General features: G+C 35.3%; 2 long non-coding RNA genes across 2 annotated transcripts in view; one reads left to right on the plus strand and one right to left on the minus strand.

The window, feature by feature from the left end:
• Window positions 1-15,166, minus strand: part of LOC124900745 (uncharacterized) — a 141,925-nt gene extending 126,759 nt beyond the window's left edge. Inside the window, exon 1 of the long non-coding RNA XR_007058211.1 lies at window positions 13,054-15,166. This is a non-coding gene — a long non-coding RNA (uncharacterized LOC124900745). The remainder of the gene's footprint in view (window positions 1-13,053) is intronic.
• The window catches only part of CXXC4-AS1 (CXXC4 antisense RNA 1), a 206,628-nt gene that overhangs the window by 149,809 nt on the left and 30,683 nt on the right, over window positions 1-26,136 (plus strand). Inside the window, exons 2-6 of the long non-coding RNA NR_125926.1 lie at window positions 2,238-2,366; window positions 2,548-2,629; window positions 6,126-6,162; window positions 18,312-18,433; window positions 20,648-20,804. This is a non-coding gene — a long non-coding RNA (CXXC4 antisense RNA 1). The remainder of the gene's footprint in view (window positions 1-2,237; window positions 2,367-2,547; window positions 2,630-6,125; window positions 6,163-18,311; window positions 18,434-20,647; window positions 20,805-26,136) is intronic.

Below are 26,136 nucleotides of genomic sequence, written 5' to 3' on the forward strand. Positions count from 1 at the left end.
AGTTTGACAAAAATCTAACTGAAATTAAAATACGGTTATCAAACCAGCAATTCACCATCTTTACTTAAAGGAATAATAAATCAGATGTTAATCAATAACATAAAGTAACAGTTTCCATTGTTCTTAATTTAAGTAGACAAGTATTAGATACAGCTTTTCTGTGCTGCCTTTTATTTTCAAATAGCTACCTTCAAAAATTATTCAAAGAGTTCAAAGAAGAAAAAGTGGCAGAGTTGGATAAACAGACCAAAAAAAAAAAAAAAAAACAGAGAAGAGCCAGTCAACTCAGCAACTTTAATTGTCCATGTGGATTATAACAGTGGACTTGTCTAAGTTAGAACTATCCAGTGCACTGGCCATAAAGTACAGAGAAAATTACTAGTGTTGTTATGTTGTTGTATATTAATTTCTGCTATATAGATAGACTCAGTTCTCTTCCCATACTTGTCTAGTATATGCCTGACAAACAGAAGTCTCTCAAGAAATGTTAGTGAATGAATAAAAACAAGATTGCATAAATAATCTCCTTATTTATCATCAGGGCCAGGGCTATTGCTGAGTCCCCAATTTATACCCAAAGTTGATTCCTCTGAAACAATGACACTTAATGTAGACAGCCTCCCAAAGAAGGGGAGACAGTTCCTGTCTGTTATGTGACTGTAAGCCACTTGTCCAAACCAATTCTGCAGCAACAAGTGCCAAGTAGATGGGGAAGATGTACAGATGGCTGCCTGCATGCATCACGGGATTGGGCTGCCACCACAGCCCATTGTTATATTTATTGCTGACAAAGTAATTAACTGGCTGACTCCTTCTTTTTAAATTGGTCATCCTCAATGGACAGCTGCACTGGGGGGTTGTACTAATCATGCCTTTGACAGGAGCGAGCTACACAGCCCCACTGCAGCAGCTAGAGCCTTTGTGAGGTCATCCCTTTGCTGCTGGACAGAAACCCATGCTTCACTCTCCCTAGGATCTTTTAACAGGCTTCCTCACTCCTGGAAAATACATAGCATTTTTTTTCTGAGTGCTTCTTTTTCCGAAGTATAATACAATGGGAAAAAAGTCATTTTTTAGTTTGTTTTCCATGTGATAATTTCTTTTTTTGTTCAAGTAATAATTTCTTAAATACAAACTGAAAACTTGCCTTTAATAATAATTGTGGAAGAAGATTGCACTAATCTCAGTAGATATTACCCAAATTACCAAATTATAAGGAAGCTAGAGGTCATGTGAAGGCATCAAAAGCTGTTTCAACTCACTTCTCTGTCCAGCAACCAAGTATTTATTTTTATTTCAATAGCATAAAGAATGATCTTTATTTTTTCTACAGTAAAATGAATATTAGATGCTTGCAGAATATTTTACATCACAGAATGTTAAAGATATTTTTATAATGAGAATGCCTAATGTATCAAGCACAGGCTTATTTGTTAGTAATACAATACCAGATTCACGGCATAGGCAAAATTCTTCCTAGGGGTCTCATGTTTGTCTTTTCTTACCTGTGAAATGAAAGCCATTGTTCTTTCCTGCCCATACTTCTTCCTGACCTAAGTAACTTCAACTCTGTTCTTTATGATTTATTCTATAAAATCGGGGGACTGGACATAGAGAATTTCTAATAATCTGTGACTATCTGGATATTGAGGCAAATAAAAATCATAATGTATTACTCAAATTAATAAAAACTGTGAATATACAATGTAAAGGGCATGTATTAATTACAAATACAACTAAATCTTGATTTGTTTTTATTATCACAAATATCAGTGTCCGTGGTTTGAGTTTGCTTATGAAAAAATCCTTTACATATTCCTTTCTGTGCTTTGCTAATTTTCCATTCTGTATTCCAAGGCAGAACAACAGATTGCAACAAAATCGGGTTAAACATTGATCTTCCGCCCTGACATTGCATTAACTTTTGTAATAAACATCTTCACTGTGTCAACCAGCACTGTGTTTACATATTGAACCCAGCAGCCAATTGTCTTACTTCTTTTAGATGCTTTTGAATTCCAGAAGGAATCTTATCTGGAAGACTAGAATCATGCATCTGTCATGCCTTTCAATTTTGTATTTCAGATTAACTGCTCCTTTTCCTCCACATTCTTAAGGCCTTCTAAGAAATTTCCTTCCCAATTCACTTGGTAAGTGCCTGCTCAGGCTGTTATTCTATAATGAATTCATGTCTTTTCTCCTATTTTTCCTGTGCCGCCCTTGTTATCTGGAGTCAGGATTCTGAGCTCTGACTTCCCTCCTTGTCATGTTGCCTGAGGAGAATTGCAGACAGACCCTCAGACCTCAAATAGTCTAGATTTTGAAGACCCTGCTTTGGCTGAGATGAGGCCAGCATTGGAGTAGAAGTAAGCACTGATATATATATTTTTTACTTACAATCTCTGAAAATTAACTATTTCTGTTCAGGTTCAGGGACTGACTGAAAGTATGAGCTAATAGGTGTGCCTATCCATTACTGATCACATATTCTCTATTTTTGAATGTTATGAAGAATACACATTTAAGAATTGGTTTTCATATCTGCAGATGCTGCTTGCTTCACTGAAGCTACAGGTAGAAGCTGACTACCAAAGGAGAAGGCTGAGGAGAAATTGCTCCATGAGATAAGGCAAGACATTTATCCCTGAATGCTGTCTCTCCAAATGCACAGAAACATGTCATAAAGTGTGGGACTAGGGTCTCTAAAGGACATGTAATACCTCATTTCTGGAGATATGGTCTAACATGAAAGGGTCATAATCGATGGTCAAGTCACAAAATTTATTTCTAGAGTCATTTTACTAAATATGGAGAGATCTGCAAAAATTGTATGCCTGGGGAAAATCCCAATCAGACCAACTGACCCAGACCAATCAATGACAACTCAGAGTAGTAATGAAAAATTCATTTAGACTAACTCCCATAATTTGCTAAGAGGCACTGTACTAAGTATATAACACAATATCTCATTGTGTGATCCTTATAATAGCTCTATGAGGTACATGTCATTCTTCCTATTTTTTAGACAGAAAAGTCTCTGATAAATAACTTGTCCAAAGTCACGTATTTACCACATTTACCAGAGTTATAACCCAAATCGGTCTGACTCTAAATGCTCTTAGCCATTCAGTCCTACTGCAAAATAAGCACACCAGTGGAGAGCAATAGAGAATGGGAACGCAGTCACAATGGGAGCCTGTCATTGGATCTCATGTATGCAGAGGTTCCTTCTTCCAGGAGAGCTTTGCCCTTGTCCTCATGAACTTTTATGTCAATACATTCAATGCACTGTATTGGATTTCTAGATTGGGAGCTAAAAAAAGAACAGATTTCTAAATATCAGCTATCTTATTTTACCAGCTTGCCTTAAACCAGTTACAGAATATCTCTATTTATAATTATTTTTACCTAAAAATAGGAATAAAACTACTCTTCAATATGTGATTTTTAAAAAGGATGATAAAATCAAAGGAATTTAGAATAATCCTTGCACATAGTGGGCACTTAGAAACTTTTGCTTCCTTATTGACTCCCTTCTCCTTACATTTCAATCTTGTTCCATGTCTCATGGCCTCTTCAGAGCAGAGACTATGTAGTATTTACCTTCATATCTTCAGACAAAATGCTTAGCATATAGTCGGTGGTCAGTTACTGGAAATGATTTAAAGACATTGAGAATTACTTCCTTTGAAATTTTAAGAGGTGTGGTAAAACTTTGGTTTCAGAATATATCTTTATTGATTTTTTAAATATGTATTTTTCTTATATATTATGGTCAACCTCTTGGGATCTTTAGAAAAGAACATTTTCCAGTTTTTTTGAATCTCGGGCCAAGAGAATTAGAACACTCCATAAAATTACACAGGTATATCTGATAAAGGCCATACTCTATTTTTCCATATAAGTATAAAACTGTTGTATAAAAAATTACCTTCTGGCCAGGTGTAGTGGCTCACACCTGTAATTTCAGCACTTTGGGAGGCCAAGGCATGCAGATCACTTGAGGCCAGGAGTTCAAGGCCAGCCTGGCCAACATGGCGAAACCCCCCTCTACTAAAATACAAATATTAGCTGGGCCTGGTGGCACGTGCCTGTAATCCTAGCTACTGTGGAGGCTGAGGTGGGAGAATTGCTTGAACCCAGGAGGCGGAGGTTGAAGTGAGCCAAGATCATGCCACTGCACTCTAGCCTGGGCAACAGAGCAAGACTCTGTCTCAAATATATAAATAAATAAATTACCTTGTAAAATATTATCCTCTTCCCTCAAATATATACAGTAAAAGATGTCTGTCTAATATTATAATATATTTTGTTTAGCAAAAATACATTAGTCAGTTATTTATCTTAAATTTCCTTTATCCTCCTGAGTCTAACATGTTTATTTTTATACTGGACTTTGGTCTATCCATTTCACATATGGGTCAACTATTTCCTATACAGATAGTTTAGTTATCTGTTAGCTGCATAGCAACCTAATCCCAAAATAGTGTTTTAACATTTCTTCACCATCGCTGAGTTGTCTGGACTCAGCTGAATGGTTGTTCTGCTTCCTATGATGTCAGCGAGGGCTATAGTCATGTGAGGTCATACGTGGCCTACAACATCCAAGATGGCTGCCTCCTATAACTGGCAACGGATGTAAGCTGTTGGTTGAGAAATGCTAGTAAGCAGGTCTCCTAAGTTTTCCTCCACATGACCTCTCCATGTGGCTGGTTTCTGAGAAGGAGTACCCAAAGAGTGAACATTTCAAGAGAAGGAAGCAGAAGCTAAAGGTCCCTTAAGGCCTCCTTTCTGTGCATTCAGTTGCTCAAAGGCCAGCCCAGATTCAAAGGAGGAGAAATAAACACTCCTGTTGATCTGATGTGCATTAAAGAGAAGAAATTAGTGAGTCATTTTTAAAGACTGATCATTAAATATAGTTACCCTGTTATATTTTTTCATAAATGATTTCCTTCTCCATTCTACCCCTATAAATTTTTCTCTATATGTGAGAATTTAAAATCTGTGGTTTCTTTCTATGTACTAATCTACACATAGTTGTGTTTATTATTTGTCTTTGATGAATATATTATATGATACTGAAAGCCTGATATCCTATTAAACATTTAAATAAATATTTCACATTTTAGAATTCTGAGCTCTAACTCCTTCTTTATCCTCAGCATTAGAATTAGACAAAAGCACTCAGATGTAAAATATACCAAATGAGGCAGTGGGGGAGGTAGGTGGTAAAATAGTTTTTTTGTTAGTCTTCTTTTTCTCTTTTTGTTCATATATTTTGAGCTCTCAAAATGGCTGTAAAATGCTTTATTACATTGCTAATATATGCTTAATTTAAAAAAATCCAAACTCTACCAAATTTAGCTAAATGAAATAATTATATGCTGTATTGGTGTGTAAGAGGTGGGGAGAAGGAGCACATTCTAAACTTCCTTGCTCTTTTCTAAATTTGTCTGTGAGAGAGCACCGATTAAGAGTCAGAATTTCTAACTCCAGTGTGGACTTCAATGGAGTAACTATTAAACAAGATGCATAACAAGGGTTACCATGATAATCAGGTGAAGTTATTAAATAGAAAAGAACATATTTCTGTCTTTTATAAGAAGAAAGACATCATTTCCATAGAGAAATGAAGGAACTCTGAAGCCTGGAAACCCTTGGGAGGGGAGCACATGTATTATTCTAGATTAGAACTAAACATTCCAGCATGAAGGATGACCTCATATGGCCTCCCTGTCGAAAGGTATGTAAAAACAAATGTTATAACTATGAATTTGACATTAACCATGGGGAAATTTAAGACAAATGGAAGTTATACATTATTGATGAATCTCTTTGGGAAACTTGTTGAAGTTATATGGCAATTTTTCATTCACTAATCAGACAATAAGGTTATTGGGTCATGAATGGTAGGTAGACTTAGCAAATAGTATTCCTATTGTGTAAGTTCTTCTTGTGCCTTTTCTTGTTATTAGGTAAATTATACCTGGATATTCTTTAAATGGGAAATTGTCTGTGTTCGTGTAATTGAAGCAACATCACATCTGTTAATAGAGAGTAGAAGGTATAATCAGAATTTTGTTACAAGTGGAAAAGAAGGAAATTAATATTCTTTTTGTTTTTAGACATGCAACCTATGTATTAAGTAAGACATTGTTGATGGTAAGTACGTACTGCTCGGCATTGATTTCTTACTTGCTGCAAGGAGGTAGACCCAAGGGGAACTCAAATATGGAAGACAGGAAATAAGAAGTCAATATAGTGAAAGGCAAGAACTTGATTTGATGAAACTCATCATTAAATGATGAAACTGATCACTCAACATATGCTATTACTAGAGCTTTTTAGTAGAGATATGTTACTATTGGTGTGAGCCAATATAAATTTGCATTGTAATAAAGAGCACTGGATCTGAAATGAGACTAGCAAATCACTTACTATCTCAGTGTTTCTTTGAATGTCTATAAGATAGGGGTAAAAACCGAATATAAGGTAAGGTACATGAGAAAAATTGTCATGATATTTAGGAGTTTTAGTAATAATTATATAAACATTAATATTTCTGGGTAAGTTTCACAAAAGAGAAAATCTTCTAAGAAGCTAAAAGGGGTAAGCTTTCCTATAAAGGAACGAGGAGAGAATTATAGCAAAATTTCATCAGAAATCATGCAAGCAAGAAGAAAGTAAAGTAAAATATTTGAATTGTTTAAAAAAAACCCACACCAACCTAAACTTCTGTATCCAGTAAAATTAACCTCCCAAAGTGAAAAAGAAATAACTTTCTCAGACAAACAAAAACTGAGGTACTCCATTTTCAGTAGACTTCCACTACAAGATGTTAAAAGATGTTCTTCAGAAGGAAAGCGATACAATATAGAATCTCAAATTTACATAAAGAAAGGAAGAAAATCACGTTAGTCCATAAAACAAGTCTTAACAAATTGAATACAATAGGGATTATATCAAATATCTTTTCTGAGCAAAATGGTATAAACCTGGAAATCAACAACCAAAAAAAAAAAAAAAACCCTCAGAAACTTTACAAATACATGGAAATTAAACAACATGGGTCTACACCACCAATGGGTCAATAAAAATGTTAAAAGAAAAATTAAAATTTTTCGAGACAAACGAATGGAAGTGGATCATATCAAAACCTATGGGACACAGCAAAAGCAGTTCTAAGATGCAAGTTTATAGCAAAAAACACCTACATCAGAAAAAAATAAAGCCTTCTAATAAAAAACCTACCAATGCACCTCAAGGAACTAGAAAAACAAGAACAAACAAACCCCCAAACTGGTAGAAGAAAGGAAAGAATAATACTCAGAGCACAAATAAATGAAATAGAGACTTAAAAAAAAATTTAAAAGAACAATGAACAAAGAGTAGGTTTTTCAAAAACATAAACAAAATGGATGAACTATCAGTTAGATTAACTTAGAAAAAGGAGAGAAGACTCAAATAAAAGGATTAAAAAGGAGACATTACAACTGATACCATAGAAAAACAAAGAATCATGAAATTATTATGAATGACTATATGTCAACAAATTTAATAACATATAAAAGTGGATAAATTCCTGTACACATACAAGCTACTGGGATTAAATTATAAAGTAGAATATCTGAACAGATCGATAATGAGTGAGGAAATTGAATGAGTAATAAAAAATCTCCATCAGAGAAAACTCTAGAACATGATGGCTTCACTGCCAAATTCCATCAAACTTTTAAAGAACTAATACCAATTCTCCCCAAACTATTCCAAAAAATAGGAGTGAATACTTCAAAACTCAATTTATGAGCTCAGCATTACCCTGATTCCAAAACTGAAATAGGACACAACAGAAAAAAAAATACCACAGACTCATATCCCTGATGAACAGAGATGCAAAAATTCTCATTAAAAAGATCATTTACTATGATGGAGTGGGATTCATCCCAGGGATGCAAGTTAATAAGTATAATCCACCACATTAACAGAAAAAAGACAAAGAACATATAATAATTACAATAGAAACAAACATTTGACAAAATTCAATATCCCTTCATGTTAAAAACTCTCAACAAATATCTATCTATATCTACATATAGAAAGTATGTATTAAATACCTCAACAAAATTAAGGCCATATATGCCAAACTTACAGCTAATATCATACCAAATGAGGAAGAGATGAAAAAGTTTTCCTCCATGATCAGGAGGATCTTTTTCTGCTGTGATAAGCTAAAATTTCTATTATTTATTTAATTCTTCTGATGCATTTTACTCAGTCCAGTCCAGTGATGAGAATGTTTATTCTACATTGCTTGGAACATCTGGATAGCTACATACATGAATTAAAGTACAGTGCACTTAATACAAATGTTCTACAAAAATAAGACATTTCATTTATTAAAATTTCACAGAGAGGCATACAAGACTACAACAATTACTGAGGTGAAAGTCTACAGTTTTTAAGAAGTCAGATGGGCTGGGCACATAGGCTTACGCCTATAATCCCAGCACTTTGGGAGGCTGAGGTGAGTGGATTCCTTGAGCTTAGGAGTTCAAGATGAGCCTGAGCAAATGGTGAAACACTGTCTTTACCAAAAATACAAAAACAATTAGCTGGGCTTGGTGGTGCACCTGTGGTCCTAGCTACTCAGGAGGCTGAGGTGAGAGGATCATTTGAGCCCAGGGAGGCAGAGGTTGCAGTGAGCCGAGATCATGCCACAAAACTCCAACCTGAGTGACAGAGTGAGACCCAAGCTTAAAAAGAAAAAAAAAGTCAGATGGTTGTCTAACTCCAGGCTTTGTATATTCTGGTTCAGGGGTTATGGAGAAACATGGCCAATGTGAGAAACAACAGCAACTGTAAGCCCTTGGCAACACACTAAGAATATGGTTCCCCTTAATACAGAGTCCATGGATATAGAAGCTGCAGCCAGTACACTTTATTTCTGTTAGTCATACTCTGTATAATTGATTTGTAATCTTTTTGGGGGCAGGATAACTGTGCAGGAATTTTAACAAACTTGACTGATCTACTGATAAGGAGAAGGTCAGCCTTATCCCCACAAGTAAGCCCACACACACTGGTACTGCCAGTTAACTGAGGAGAAACTTGTCTCTATGCCAAGTATCCCCTGCTGAGTAATCCCTTCCACTGCCCCAGCATCTGAGATGAGGATGTGGATATTCAGCTGAGTAGGACAAGGATGCCCACTTTCACTACTGCTATTCAGCATAATACCGTAAGTCTTAGCCAGAGCAACTAGATGAAAGAAACAAAAAGAAGGCATCCAAATTGCAAAGAAGGGTTCAAATTGTTTTTGTAAAATTCATATGGAACCACAAAGGCCCTGAATAACCGAAACAGTCCTAAGCAAAAACAACAAAGCTGGATGCATTATATTACCAGACTTCAAAATATACTACAAAGCTATAGTAAACAAAACAGCATGGTACTGTCATAAAAACAGACACATAGACTAATGGAACCAAATAGCCTACCCAGAAATAAATTAACACATCCACAGCCAACTAATTTTCTACAAAGGTACCAAGAACATACATTGAGGGAAAGATGGTCTCTTCAATAAATGGTGCTGGGAAAATTGAATATCTACATGTGGAAGACTATGACTAGTCCACTACCTCTCAACATATACAAAATCAACTCAATATAAATTAGACTTAAATGTAAAACTCAAAACTATGAAACAGCTAGAAGAAAACATAGAGAAGAAGCTTTATGAAATTGGGCTGGGAAAGAGTCTTATTTTTTAATAAGGCTGCAAAGTCACAGGCAACAAAAATAAAAATAGGCAAATGGAATTAAATCTAACTCAAAAGCTTTTGTACAGCAAAGAAAACATTAACACAGTAAAGAGACAACCTACAGAATGAAAGAAAATAGACAAAAACTTTATGTCTGTCAAGAGGTTAATATCCAGAATGTATGAGACTTAAACAACTCAATAGAAAGAGAAAAAATAACAATAAAAAATGGGCAAACAACTTTAATAGATATTTTTCAAAAGAGGACATGCAAATAGCCAACTGGTATATGAAAAAAATGCTCAGTGTCATTAACACAAAGCAAAACCACAATGAGATACCACCTTACTCCAGTCGGAATGGCTATTACCAAAAATATAAAAGAAATCAAGTATTGGCTAAAATGGGGAGAAAAGGAAACACTTACACACTCTTGGTGGGATTGTAAACTAGTATAGCCATAATGGAAAACAGTATGTAGGTTCCGCAATAAATTAAACATAGAATTACTATATGATTCAGAAATGCCACTATTGCATATATATCCAAAGGAAAGGAAATCAGTACGTCAAAAAGATATTTGCACTCTCGTGTTTATTGCAGCACTATTTACAATAGCCAACATATGGAATCAACCCAAAAGTTTAACAACAGATGAATGGATAAAGGAATTGTGATATATATATAGAGAGAGAGAGGATATAATGTTGAGTGAAATAAGCCAGAGACTAAATGACAGATACTGTATAATCTCACTCATACATGGAATCTTTTTTAAAAAGTTGATATAAAAGCAGAGTAAAACTGTGGTTACTACAGACTGGGAAGGGGAGGAGGAATAATAGAATGGTAAGAGGTTGATCAACTAGTACAAATTTTTAATTAAATAGAAAAAAATGAATTGGGTGGTTCTATTGTAAAATAGGATGACTGTAGTTAACATTAAAATATTCCATATTACAAAACACTTAGAAAAGAGGCTTTTGAATATTCTCATCACAGAAAATGCATAAGATGATGGTTACACTAATTGCCCTGATTGGATCATTATACAACATAGATATATATCAAAACATCAAACTGTACCCTGTAATTATATGCAATTACAATATGTCAAAATAAAAAATAAATTTTTAAAAACATTTAAAAAGTAAATAATAGCAACATTGTATTGGATAATTATATCATGAACAAGTGAAAGTAATGACAGCAATGTTGTTACAAGAAATATATTTTAAATATAAACATTCAAATAAATTAAAAGGGAAGAAGAATTATATATCATGCTAACACTAATTAATGGAAAGTTGGAGTAGCTGTATTAATTTCAGACAAAAGCAGATTTTAGAATAGGGAAAATTCTCAGGGATAAACAAGAGCACTACATAATGATAGAAAGGTCAATACTCTATGAAGACATAACAATTTTTAACATGTATGCACCTAACAATAGAGCATCAAAATACAAGAGAAAAACTGTTAAAACTGTAAAAAGAAACGGACAAGTCCACTATTATAGCTGGAGACTTCAAAAGCCCTCTTTCAGTAGTTGATAGATTCAGCAGGCAGAAAATCAATAAGGATATAGTTGTCCTGAACAGCACTATCGATCAGTTCCGACTAATTGATATTTAAAGAACACTTCCTTAAAGAAAAGCAGAAAACACATTCTCTTCAAACTCACATGGAACTTTCATTAAGATAGGCCACATTCTTGGCCATGAAATATATCTTAACTTTAAAGGGATAAAAATCATACAAAGTATGTCCTCAGATGACAATGAAATTAAAATATAAATCAATAACAAACAAATTTTCAAATATCTGGAGATTAAGCAATAACACTTCTAAAAAACAAATGGGTCAAAGAAGAAGTCTCAAAATGAATAAAATACATTTTGAACTAAGTGAAATTAAAAATACAAATTATAATTTGTGGGATGCAGTGAAAGTATTAAGAGGGAAATTTTTAGTTATAACACTAAATATATATATCAGAAAAGAAAAACTATCTAAAATCAATAATATAAGCTTCCATTTTAAGAAGTTACAAAAAGAATAGAAATTTAGCCTAAGACAAGCACAAGAAAAGAAACCAATAAAAATTAAAACAGAAATGGTCAAAATTTGAAAATAGAAACAATAGATAAATTCAATACATTTAATATTTGATTTTTTAAAAATAATTATAAAATTAAAAATTCTAGCCATGTTAATCAAGAAAAAAATGAAAGAACACACAATTTATCAGAAATAAAAGAGAGAGCATCCTTACTAGTCACATGAACAATGATAGGTTGACAAAGGAATACTATGAACAATGCTATGCCCACGAATTTCCTTGAAAGACACAAACTATCAAAACTCACACAAGGGGAAACAATGTAAATATTTGTATGTTTATTTTAAAAATTGAGTAAATAGTAACCTTTCAAAAAAAGGAAACCCAGTTCCAGATGGTTACACTGGTAAATTTTACTAAACATTTAAGAAAGAAATAATGCTAATTTGTTACAATATTTTCAATAAAATAGAGCACTAACATTTTCTAAATTATGCTATGAGGTCAACATTATCATATTTCCAAAACCAGATAAAGACATTACAAGAAAAGAAAACTACAGATCAATATCTGTCATTAACTTAGATGCAAAAATCTTCAACAAAGCAAATTGAATCCAGCAATTTATAAAAAGAATTATATACCATAGCCATTTCAGTCTATTTTGTGCTGCTACAACAGAATACCAAAGACTCTATAATTTATAATAAACAGACACTTATTGGCATACAGTTCTAGAGACTGGAAAGTTCAATACCAAGCTGCTGGCTTTTGATGAGGGCCTTCTTGCTGCATTATTACATGCCAAGAGGTGAGAGGGTGAGAGAGAGAGAGAGAGCTCCTGAAGACTTTTTATTTAACGCATTAAAACTCCTATGCGGGTGGATCTGTTGTGGCCTAACAACATTTTAAAGACTCCACCTCCCAATACCATTACACCGGCAATTAAATTTCAACATGAGTTTTAGAGGAGACAAACATTCAAACCATAGCAATAGCTAAGTGGGATTTATTCAAGGTATATCAAAAACAATCAGTACAACCCACCACAACAGGTTTAAGAAGAAAAATCATATGATCCTGTTAATTGTTGCAGAGAAAGCATTTGACAAAATCCAACACCTAATCAAGATTAAAAAAGAAAAAACACCCTCAGCAAACTGGAAATAGAGGGAACTCACTTAACTTTATAAAGAATAGCTACAGAAAAACTAACATCATACTTACTGGTAAGAAACTGAATGCCTTTCTCCTGAGATCAGGAACACAACAAGGATATCCTTTCTTGCCACTTCCATTCAACATTGCAGTGAAGGTCATAGCTAGTGCAATAAAACAAGAAAATGAAATAAATACATGTTAGTTGAGAAGAAAAAAATAAAACTGTCTTTATTCATAGAAGACATGATTGCCTGTGGAAAAGCATTCTATAGAATCAACAAAAAAAAATCTTGGAATTAATACGTAAGCATTGAAATTTCACAAGATAAAAAGTCAATATACGAAAGTCAACTGATACCCTACATATAAAAATGAACAACTGAAATTACATATGGAAGGAGGTACTAATTACTAACATCAGAAACAAACAGGTAGATTTATTTTACAGATTTTATTATAAAATATAAAAATACTATAAAGAGCTTACAACAAATTGAAACTGGAACTAAAAATTTACAACAATATCAAAGAAATGTAAGAACCAGACAATGTAATAGTTATTTCTTCAAAGCAGCTTAAGAAAGATAGTACCATCCATGCAAACTAGTCTAAAAAACATAAGTAAAATTTTTCTAATTATTTTTTAAGGCTAATGAAAGCTTGATACTAAAACTTGACTAGTTCATTATAAGAAAGGAAAATTACAAGTCAATATATTTTATAAATATAATGCAATGTTTGTAAAACTACGAACAAATAAAATTCAAATGTATATACTTTAAAAACTATATTACAAAAAACTTGAACTTATTCCAGAAAGCAAGGTTGCTTTAATATTATAAAATTAAAGTAATTCATCACATTAGCAAAATAAAAAGGAAAATTCTATGAAGACCTCAAAAGATGCAGGAAAAGCATTGGAAATGATTACAGACCATAATTAAATTATCTTAGAAAATTATGATTAGAAGAGATATCTAATCATTGTAGATGATGTCTATTGTAGAAATAATATCTACAATAAACATTATATTTAATGCTATAGTATTAAAAGTTTTCATCATGGGACTGGGAATAAGATAAGAATGTACCCTATTACCATTTGTATTCATTATCATTTTGAAGGTTTCTACTAGTACAATATGGCAAAAAACAAAAAAAAAATGAAAAAGAAGGAAGGGACAGGGAGAGAGATACAGAGAGAGAAAAAGAGAGAGCAAGAGAAGAGGAAGAACAAGGAGAAGAGAGATGGAAAAGTGACAGAAAGTGGGGAGAAGGAGGTAAGGAAGGAAAAAGGAAGGAAGAAAGTACAAAAATGGAAAATAAAGAAATAAAACTTTTATTTAAGGTTTACATGTTTTTACATTAAAAAGCCCAACGTAAATACAGATAAATTACTAAAAGCAGTACAACTTAAGCAATGTCTTTGCACAGAGGAACAGTATTTAAAAAGCAAAGGTATTTATATGTACCACCAATAAGAAATAAAACTAAAAACTCACATTTAAAATAGCATAATAAAATATGTAGGAAATGACAAAATACATAAAAGTTCTAAATATGCAAATCAATAAATTATTGTGAGAAGCACTAAAGAGACCTACAAAAACTGAGAGGTTACTAATATACCAAGTGTTTAGATTGGAAGACTCAGTATTCAATAGATTTCAGTTTTCTGCAAATTGGCTTATGTGTTTAATGCAATTCCTGTAAAAATTCTAGAAAGTGTTTTGTTTTGTTTATATTTTTGTAAAAATGGGCAATCAGATTTTAAGACTAATGGAATGCAAAGAGTCTCAATTAGCCAAGCTATTCTAAAAAGAACAAAATTTGAAGACATTACATAAATTAAGAGAGTATGGCATTGGCACTTGGATAGACAATTAAATCAGGGCAAAATAGAGTCCAGCAGCAGATTGTCACCACTACTAACACTTGACTTAGGGCAAAGATGACACAATGCTGTGGAGAAAGGAGGGCTTTTCCAAAAAATAATAACGAGTTAATTGCATATTCAGAAGAAAAAATGATTCTTAACACACAATTCACTCCACACTCAAAAATCAGTTCCAGATGGATTATAGATCAAAATTTACATGAGATAAAACATAGCTTCTGGAAGATAACATAAGAGAATATCTTCATAATTTTGCAGCAAAGATTTCTTCAACAGACCACAAAATGTACTAATCATTAGAAAAAATATTTATGAGTTGGATTACATTAACATTTCATGGATTACAGAAAACTAAAAAATTATATGGAATTATGTAAAACTATATTAAAATTTTAAAAATCCTATTTTCATCAAAGACAATACTCTTCAAAGGCAAACAAATAAGGGAAAGAAAATATTTGCAATACATATAACATATATGTGTTATATGTGTGTGTTTGTGTGTGTGTGTTTATCACTCTTACAAGTTAATAAAAGACAGGCAACACAATTTTAAAAATAGGCAAGACTTGAAAAGACAGCTCACTAAATAAAATATTCAAATGACTATTAAATATCTGAGTTGTTGCAGCTTATTAATCACCAGGAAAATGCAATTTCAATTCATAATGTGTTGATACTGTTCTGTTTGTTGATGTGGGTGGTGACTATAAATGTGTTCATTTTGTACAAAATTATTAAAATACATTTATGATTTGTACACTGTGTATTATACTTCAATAGAAATGTTTATTTATACAAGGGATAAGTGAGTTTGGGAGTTAGGGGGATTTGGCTGGTAGAGATGGAAGAAAAAATGCTGATGGTATTTACCATCATATTTTCCACATGATTTCCTTTTCTCATCTCTGTCTCTTTTCTTTTCATCACATAATCACATTGTAAGTGTTTCAGTAGAAGAAGTGTGGTGATGGTGTTAGGATTAGGGATGGAAAAAGCAAAATTAAGGTTATTCTCTTCTCCGTTGTATTAGTCTATTCTCACACTGCTGTGGAGAAATACCCGAGACTGGGTAATCAATCCATAAAGAAAAGAGGTTTAATTGACTCACAATTCCACATGGCTGGGGAGGCCTCGGGAAACTCACAATCATGGTGGAAGTCACCTCTTTACAGGGTAGCAGGAGAGAGAATGAGTGCCGAGTGAAGAGGGAAGCCCCTTATAAAACCATCAGATCTTGTGAGAACTCACTCACTATCACGAGAACGCATGGTGGAAACTGCCTCCATGATTCAATTATCTCCACCTGGCCCTGCCCTTGACATGTGGGGATGATTACAATTCAAGATGAGATTTGGGTGGGAACACAGAGCCAAATCATGTCACCCACCCATTTCATTTCCTCCTGTTTTAATTCTGTGTTCCTTTCTGCATAATGAATATTTAGCAGAAGGAAATGGAGGATTGAGAGTAGGAGTTTCAAGTGAGAAGATCAAACTTTCCTCTTATTCCCCCCAGTCTTGATAAATTAGTCCTGCTGCTAGATTAACACTGGAAGAGGGTGCTTGAGGAGTCAGTCAGTTATAGGGTTCACTGCTGTGAAGGGGAAGAGTCAGAAAATAACTGATGGTGACAATAAGTAGGGAAATGAAACACCAATGAATAATCTAGGCTGTATCTAATGGAAACAGAATAGCTGAACAGTGAAGATCATGGGCATTAGAGATAGACCAGCATTTAAATTCTGTTACTGTGTGACTTTAAGCAACTTACTTATTTTCCCAAATTCTCAATTTTCTCATCTGCAGTGTGTATGAAATACCAATGCCTATTTCAATTAAGTTGTAATGATTAAATAAAAATGATGTACAAAAAATGCTTATGGATACCTGATATAGTTTGGCTCTGTGTCCCCACCAAAATCTCATGTCCAATTGTAATCCCCATGTGTCAGGGGAGGGGCCGGGTAGAAGGTGATTAGATCATAGGGGCACATTTTCCCGTTACTGTTTCAAGTATAGTGAGTTCTCAGGAGATCTGATGGTTTTAAAGTGTATGGCACTTCCCCCTTCACTCTCTCTGTCTCCTGCCACCACGTGAAGAAGGGCCTTACTTACCCTTCAACTTCAGCCATGATGGTAAATTACCTAAGGCCTCCAAGTGTCATGCTTCCTGTTAAGCCTGTGGAACTGTGAGTCAATTAAACCTCTTTTCTTCATAAATTACCCAGTTTCAGGTAGTTCTTTATAGCAGTGTGAAAATGGACTAATACAATACCTGATGCAGAATAGGCACTAAAAATATGTTAACTGGGAAAATTATGATAGTGATAGAGTGCTTCAGAATCTTGCCTCAACAGTCTTTTATTTTATACCTTTTTAGGTTAACTAGCCCTCAGACCAACAATGTCATTGGTTGAAGAGGGCTGTCCATTTCATCTGATAGAGGGCTCTTTAGGCAGCTTCTATACTCATTAGGTTCGTCAAATATGAACTGTTCCAGATGACTAGTAATAAGACGTTTTCACTGATGGCAATTGATGTTTCTCCTTTCCAACACATCAAAGTCTATCAAAAACTGAATCACTTGCATTCTGACATCACTCCATATGCTGCAAAATTTCTTCTACTAACTTTAATTTTTTAGGCACCTAGTATTGAGCACCTATTATCTATCTGGCACTGCTTACACTGATAATTTAAAATTAAAAGATTCATTTGGTATTCTCTGTTAAAGCAGAAAAACAAAAAGATGAACATAGTATTGGAGGATAAGTGTTATAACAGACAAAAGCCTGGAAGGTTATGGAAACACAGAAAGAGAATATCCAAACTGGAATAACTGACATGGGCAGAAGGATGATAAAGAAGGATGCCTGGAGAATGTGATGGGTGAGCTGAGTTTTAACAGATGAGCAGGAATTAGCTAAATTAGAAAGAGGAGAGAGGTCATTCTAAGGAACTTGTATAGAGGCAAAGTGATATGAGAGAATATGTTGGATTTAGGAAAATATGAATGGTTCAACAAGGCCAGCTACTTGCATTTTAAATGACTGATGCTTAGGTTTGTTAAGTTTAATATTTTACATGTAACATTTTATCTGTCCAATTGTGGAGTTAAAACTGCATATACTTGTATTGACCCATTTTCAATAAGAAAGAGAATTGATAGCACATACATGATTTATCAGACCAATTAAATTCCATTGTAAACAGGAAGAAGAATGTTTTTAAAACTTACTTTTGCGTTTGCCTAGTAATCATAATCTGATCACCTGAGATATCCTAAAAGGCTCCATAAGAAATATTTATATTGTATTTTAGGAAACTCAACAATTAGCTCCCAGCCTCAGTCTTCCCAAGTGATAATATATACAACTTTTAATTTTGCCCCACAGAAAAATGATACAACTTCTTTTTTTTTTGAGATGAAGTCTCATTCTGTCGCCCAGGCCGGAGTGCAGTGGCACGATCTCAGCTCACTGCCACCTCCGCCTCCCAGGTTCAAGCGATTTTCCTGCCTCAGCCTCCCGAGTAGCTGGGACTACAGGTGCGTGCCACCATGCCTGGCTAAGTTTTTATATTTTTAGTAGAGAAGGGGCTTTGCCATGTTAGCCAGGATGGACTCGATCTCCTGACCTCATGATCCACTCACCTCGGCCTCCCAAAGTGCTGGAATTACAGGCGTGAGCCACCGCACCCGGCCACTTCTTTCTGATATTATCTTGTTCTGTGACTCTGAATTTAACGGATGTTCATCAAGAATGAAAAGGCAACTTCATTGTGTTAAAGTCTGAATGATTTTAGGTGCAAAAACTGTAGACTACAGCCTATCTTATCATATGCATTCCAGGATTAGGTAAAACACACCCAGAAAATAATAAGTCTTATTCTATTTAAACACCATTCAGCTGGAATAATTCTTGCCTGATTTTAAAATCTGAGCACCCAAATACTCACTAAAATTTTAGTGAGTTTACCCAGATAAATAACTCTCTTTATAAATACCTGCTTTTTGAGATCATTTTCTTCAGGACTTTATTTTTTATTAAACTCAAAATTACGAGAGAATAATCATTCCACAACATGAAATAAGAACTATGCACAATTTATTAGGAATGATAATAAGTCTGGCTAGATTTTCAAAACTACAAATGATATCCAGAGTGATTCTGGTATTAACTTCCAGGCCATTCACATTAGATAACCGGTATCTCAAAACTAGTCTTGTCTGAATGTTCATATTCTGAGTCTATAATCTATATATGTGTGTGTTCCATACCAATTTGCATTAAATGGTGCCTAATTTCAGTCTCTCTATCAGAAAGGCTCAAACTTCAGATTTCACCAACAGTCTTTATATGGTCCTATAGTTTTAGGCTGATATCCATCCGATACTGAAATTTAAGGTGTACTTTCTTTCAATATGCTCTGCAAAATGCCAACCATGGTTGCCTATTTCCTGGGGATGACATTCCTTGTGAATTCTCCGATCTGTACTTTGGTGTTGTATATGTGTTCACATAAGCACCTAAATTTTTGGCAGAGAGAAGGCACCAGATTGGCAATAAATCACCTGAAAATAGCTTTTCAGTATGAAAAATGTTGGACTCTATGATGCTTCTTATGTAACATTATCAAAGATACCCATTTCACTACCATTTCATCTTAGTCCAAACCCTACCATGTAATAGTTCAAGATTTTAATGTTTAGATTTTTGTGCCCTATAAACAGAATTCACTACACATGTATAGGCTCTGAATTTACTAATTGAAGATAAAGTAAATACCATATCTTACAAGAAAATTATACAAACCAATACTAATTTATAATTTGCAGTGTAGCTCAATGAATCTAATACATGATTTTGTATACTTGGGCAACTTTGAGAACAGTGAATGTGCGTGAAATGTTCATTGAAGACTTTGATTTTTAAAAATTCCATTAGTAAAACCTATGAACCATATTGTCCTTGCCTCAATCAACATTTTGACTGTCAAACTCTCTTTCCTATCTGATCACATGCATTTCTATAAGTTTACAGACAGAGAAAGGAAGGTGTTTTCTTTGTTTTAATAAAAAGAAAGGAAGAGATACTTTTCAACACTTCAAATCCCATCAGCCTGGTCAAAGATAATTTGCATCGTTTACTTTTATTGCCCTCATCAATAGATCCAATTGTATTTCTGTTTAGCCCCTTTATTTTTTGAATTCACTTTTACCTTTCTGATCTTATCTTTACTTATTTCATTCAGGATTTTAAGAATTACTTTACCTCTCTATCCTTATAAAACTTCTAAGGACTTCTAACTGGCAATTGTGTAATATCAAAGCCAATTGTCTCTAGTTAGACAATTTTAAATATGTACAATGATAGCTGTTATCCATAACAAAATTTTAAGATTAATAACATTAAGGTCTGTTAAAATGCAAATGTAACAATAATTTAGTTATATGCTGTATTTTTTCTATGATTCTGTTTTTTGGGGGATACATATTCTATATAGCTTAAATTCCTTACTTATGAGCATAAACCAGAGTAAAGTAAGGGAGTGGATATAAATCAAGATAGCTGCTCTTTTACTTCAGGGTAAAAGGCTGCTTTCATGTCTCCTCAGGCAGGGAGTAACAGCTACTCCATGAAAATTGATCCACAGCCATCCTTCTACCCTGACCGTTAACACTAAGGTGCGTTCAGGGAAGGATCAGAACATGTCTATATTTTGCTTTCGAGTCACAAACTTTGCCATTTTATATCTACAGAGGCAATCAGTACAACTGTGCAGAACTTCTGGAAGATTGGCACAAAGCATTTTAAAAATCACTTTCTAGTCTATATTAAATTCTTCAAGAATACTTATGAAGAAACAGGAAGTAACTAACTTTCTTTACCTTTTCAAGAATTGGCTCGTGAGAAAAGGTAATATATGAAACTTGTAGTGTTTTAAAAATCTTTGTACTCTAGCCAAAAAAACTTAATAGATAAACAAATAAATTCTCCTAGTAATATAATTTTTACTTTAGGGCTTCTTTAGCTCTTAAAACTTCCTTATTAACAGCAAATTTTCTTCATTTTTTTCTTATCTTAATTTTCCATGACTAGTCTTCTTTTTTATTCCAACTCCAAGCTTGTAGAACAACTCAGCAAATGTCTTGGGGTGAATGCCTGAGCCCAAGGCCTCTTTACTCTTGTGGCCAAGTCTGTCTGACAGATTCTGGAATTACTGATTGTCAGGCTGATTTCTCTTCCCATCTCCACACTTGGTCTGTCCTGCCTTGCACAGAGGCATGCAGACACCCCAGTATACTTGTCTAGACTCTGCTCACACCTATGGTAATAGCTACTCCTCAGGCCAAGGGGTGTGGTACATGCTGGACCCAGTCTTGAAAAAAGAGGTCCTGTAAGACCTAGAAGCAGGCTTGGGTGATTTGAGTGTGGGATTCTAGAGTTCTGTGTGTCTTGGCATCCGGTCATAAAATCAGTGGGCAGGTCCTGGGTGAGTGTATCCTCTTGGATCCATGGACTCCTGACCCATTGAATAGAGGTGAGGTCCTGGAAGGCCAGGGTAGCCCCCTCTAAGTTCAGGGCTCAAAGCTGGGCCTCAGTTTTCCAGGTTAAAAGTTATTATTGTGGAGAAGCCTTCTAGATACATGTGAGGAAATACTAGATATTATATAAACAGTATTATTCCCAGCCATGAACAACACCAGCAGCCCATGTTTAATTAAAAATGTGGAATTGAAAGGTAAATATGTTTTATAATGAACCCCAAGCTAAAGAAAACAAAACTATAATAATGAATCAAAGAAGGAAGTGAGTAGAAGCTGGAAACCATCATTCTCAGCAAACTATCACAAGGACAAAAAACCAAACACCACATGTTCTCACTCATAGGTAGGAATTGAACAATGAGAACACTTGGACACAGGAAGGGGAACATCACACACCGGAGCCTGTTGTCGGGTCGGGGGAGGGGGAGGGATAGCATTAGGAGATATACCTAATGTAAATGACGAGTTAATGGGTGCAGCACACCAGCATGGCACATGTATACATATGTAACTAACCTGCACATTGTGCACATGTACCCTAGAACTTAAAGTATAATAATAAAAAAATTTAAAAAATGCTTTGAGAATTCTAGGCTAGTAATCACTTACTCCATGAATATTTTATAGGTACCTGTTATGTCTCCAATGCTGTACTAGGTGCAAGGAACACATCGGTGAAAGGAAAGGACAACATATCTGTCCTCATGCAGTTTATGTTCTTCATTACGTAACAGTACATAGAGAGACAAACAATAAAAACATATTTAGAAAGTTATGTATATAATTGGCATAGTAACTAGAAATATTTATAAGGCAAATAAATAAAATAAGCAGTGAAAGATGAGCATTGCAGGCAGGGATGAGTAGTGCAAAGTTTCTGTGGTGGAAAATGGCTTTTCATGGGACAATATGAGATGAGGTTGAAGAGAAGAGTATTCAGCACCTTGGCCAGGCCCGGTGGCTCAGGCCTGTAATCCCAGCACTTTGGGAGGCTGAGGCGGGCGTATCACGAGGTCAGGAGATCAAGACCATCCTAGATAACACGGTGAAACCCAGTCTCTAAAAAATTAGCCGGGTGTGGTGGCAGGCTCCTGTAGTCTACACCAGCTACTCGGGAGGCTGAGGCAGGAGAATGGCGTGAACCCGGGAGGCGGAGCTTGCAGTGAGCCGAGATGGCGCCACTGCACTCCAGCCTGGGCAACAGAGCAACACTCTGTCTCAGAAAAAAAAAAAAAAAGACTATTCAGCACCTTGTAGACTATGATAAGGATTTTAATTTTATTCCAGGAGTAATAAGAAGTCCTTAAAAGGTTTTCAGCGGGAAAGTTTCAAAGTTTCAGATATAATGTACATTATTGAGAGATGGCTATATTAGTTAGCTTGGGATGCCATAACATAAAACCATAGACTGGGAGGTTTAACCAGAAACGTATTTTCTCATATTCTGAAAGCTTGGAATTCTGAGATCAGGGTGTCAACATGGTCAGATTCTGGTGAGGAGGACTCTCCCATGATGCAGACGGCCCTCTGTTCACTCTCAGTGTGTTTTTTCATGGCAGGTATGAGAGAGAGAGAGAGAGAGAGCACAAGAGCGCTTTGGTGTGTTTTCTTATAAAAACACTAATCTCATCATGAAGGCTCCACCTTTATGACTTCATTTAATTATAATTAGCTCTCAAAGTCTCCATCTCCAACTACCACCCCATTGGGAATTAGGGCTTCAACATATGAATGGCGGGGGGGACACACACATTCAGTCCATACCAATCACTGGTTGTTGTGTGGAGAGAGGTACAAGTGGCAGGAAGGAGACCAGAAAGAAGGTTATTGTGTTCCAAGAGTAATGACAGAAAAAATGTTATCACACAGCACAATTTACTCAAGAGTCTAAGACAACATAAAATGCTTTTGAATATTTCCATTTTATAGCTGTATTTTAAAAATCACCTTGAACATTTTGCAATTCTCAAGCATTATGTTTATGTACTATTTGTGCAGGCAAAAAGTGGATGTGGGAGGAAAAGGCCAAGAGCAGGTCAGTCTTCCTTTTCAGTCCCTGCCGGTATAACTTGTCAGGAAGCATGACAATATTAAATGGGTGGGAATAAGAGAGCAGAGTGGATTTAAATCCAGCCTCTACGTAAAGATTTTCTGGGATCCTACTATCAACCCCACCTAAAATGTTTGCTTTAGGACACAGATTTCAGCCAAATAACAGGCCAAGCTAGGGTGAAAAGAACAGGACACTAAGTCAAATGTGCAAGTTGTTGCAGGTCTCAAGGATCCTGATATTCCTTACTCTTTTGCTGCCACCCTACCTACCCCTGCTATCTTTCTTCCCCACCTTCCTGTATTTGCTCTGAATCTGTGTTTCCCTCTTCTTGCTCAGCTCACTGATTCAACTTCACTGGACCCCAGCTATTTGCAAAGCACTATTGACTTTTCCTGAAATTCTCTCCTAGGTTCTCAGACACTTGTTTAAATTGTTAAATTGGGTATTAATTCAACTAGGGGTAAGGAGGAGGGGAAAATACCACAAGCTGCCTCATTTCAGCAGTCCCCTGATAGCTTTCCCAACTCCAAAAATCAGTTTCAACCAAGTGTGCTACTACATGTGCAAAAAAGCAATGCTACGGCAGCTATCTGAGAGTATGACAGTGAAAAAAAAATAGACTATTTCCGGTCACTGAGTAAAATAATTATTAACGTGTACACCATAGCTGCTGTAGACAGTTATGTACTATGGGGAATGCAGCAACAAATGAACTGGTGTTGCGTTTATGCCCCTATGCCCTGACAACACGGCCTTATTAATTCCAGGAGGCCCTATTAACAGGGTGGCAAGTGGTCTGCAACCTTGTTTTCTCACCCATTAACCACAGCACCTTGACCACAAGATGGCCTTTTTTATGTATTATTACATAATGCCAGTCTGATTTTCCCAAACATAGCTCACATAGCATAACAAGAAACTACTTGGCTTTGGCCAAACAAGGCTTGGCTGCCTGCAGCCCAAGTGACACTCCCTCCTGTCACTAGAGAGGTATGATCTAGTTGAGGAACAAAAAATGAAATAACCACTGAGCAATTCCAGATAATGTAAAAAGAATCTTTGTCTATTGAATTCAACTGTGAAAAGGACATCCCAAGCAAACTCTTATTCATACTAGCTTAAGCCTACTCTGCTACTCAAGTTTCAATAATTTGGACTGATTCATTCCTCAAGCCAAGTCTCCATTGTTTTTCTCCTGCGGAAAGTCTATAAAGATGCTGCAAGTAAAGCCTGCAAGATAACTGTAGAGCTGAATTCCATTCTTCCCTGGGCTGCTCCTCCAAACACAGCCTTCATTAACCCTGGATAAGTAACATGGAGGCACCAGGCTTAGAGAGCAAATGTTTGAAATTAGATATGATCACTGCCAAATAAATCTATTTGGCAACTTAACCCCTAATATAAAACCCACTAAAAGACAGATGATATAGTTATATATGTAAATAGAGATACAGATACATAGATATGCATTAGCTATAGTGACTACTACATGCAAAGTTCTGATGCTCTATCAGTGAATAAAAGAGGTGAGGGGAAATAGTCATTAAATGAATATACAATTTATTATGTGATCACTATTATGATATGTGCTTTGAAGAAGAAATTAGGTGCTTTGAAAACTTATAAAGAGGTTTTGACCTAGTCTTGGGGACCGGAATTAGCTGTTAGGATTCAGTTTCAGCACTAATAATAATAATAATTAACTTCCCCTCTTTTACTTAGAAGTGGTCTGGCCTCCCTGCTAGGTAGTGACTCCTCTAGACTTTACACAGGCCACAGAAGAACTTTGTTCATTTTTGCAAGCTCCACAGTCCATCTTCTGAAAAACTACATGACACTTGGTCTCAGGAGGAAAGATAACCAGGACCAAGGTCCTCATACCTAATCTCTTTAGTTTACCTGACTCGGCAGGACCAGCGCTGCCCTCCCAGTTATCCATCAGGATGAGGACACTTATCTCTACATGGTTCTATATATGCCCTTAAATCTGACCCAGTTCTTCCTCTCCTCCCCACCACTCTAAATTCTTGTTTTGTGGCTTCTGAAACTCATAGTCTGCTTGCAGCTAACTGTTATATCTTTGTCTTTTTTCCAGTCATTCTTGTTACCTTTGGGCTCTCACTGAAACTTGGCCCTCCCCACGGTCACAGCTGCCCCTGAAGCCTTCTCAAGTGATGGCTCTTTTCTCAACCATACTTTATGTCTTTCTGGTTCTTGCTCTTCCTTGCTAATTTCTATATGCTCCCTGATAAATACATAGTCATGCACACACATACACACACCGAAAATACTCCCGTCTGAAGACACTACCAGTTGACAGCAACTAACATTTACATAGGTTGAATATCCCTTATCTCGTCCTAGGGACCAGAAGTGTTTCCTATTTTAGATTTTTTCGGATTTTGGAATATTCGCATGTACATACCTGTTGTTCACTCTTAATCTGAAAATTCGAGCATGTCAGGGCTCAAAATGATTACCCTGTTCCAGGCATCGATCTGACTTAATATTCACAAAACACTCTGAGTTACATATGTTCCTATCCTTATTCTACTGATGCACTTGAGGTACTGGGATATTGGGTGAAATATTCACAGTCAAACAGCTAGGAGGTATTAGAGTGGGGATTTGTACCCTGGAAGTATGG

This window comes from Homo sapiens, chromosome 4 (assembly GCF_000001405.40).
Source record: "Homo sapiens chromosome 4, GRCh38.p14 Primary Assembly".
NCBI lineage: Eukaryota > Metazoa > Chordata > Mammalia > Primates > Hominidae > Homo > Homo sapiens.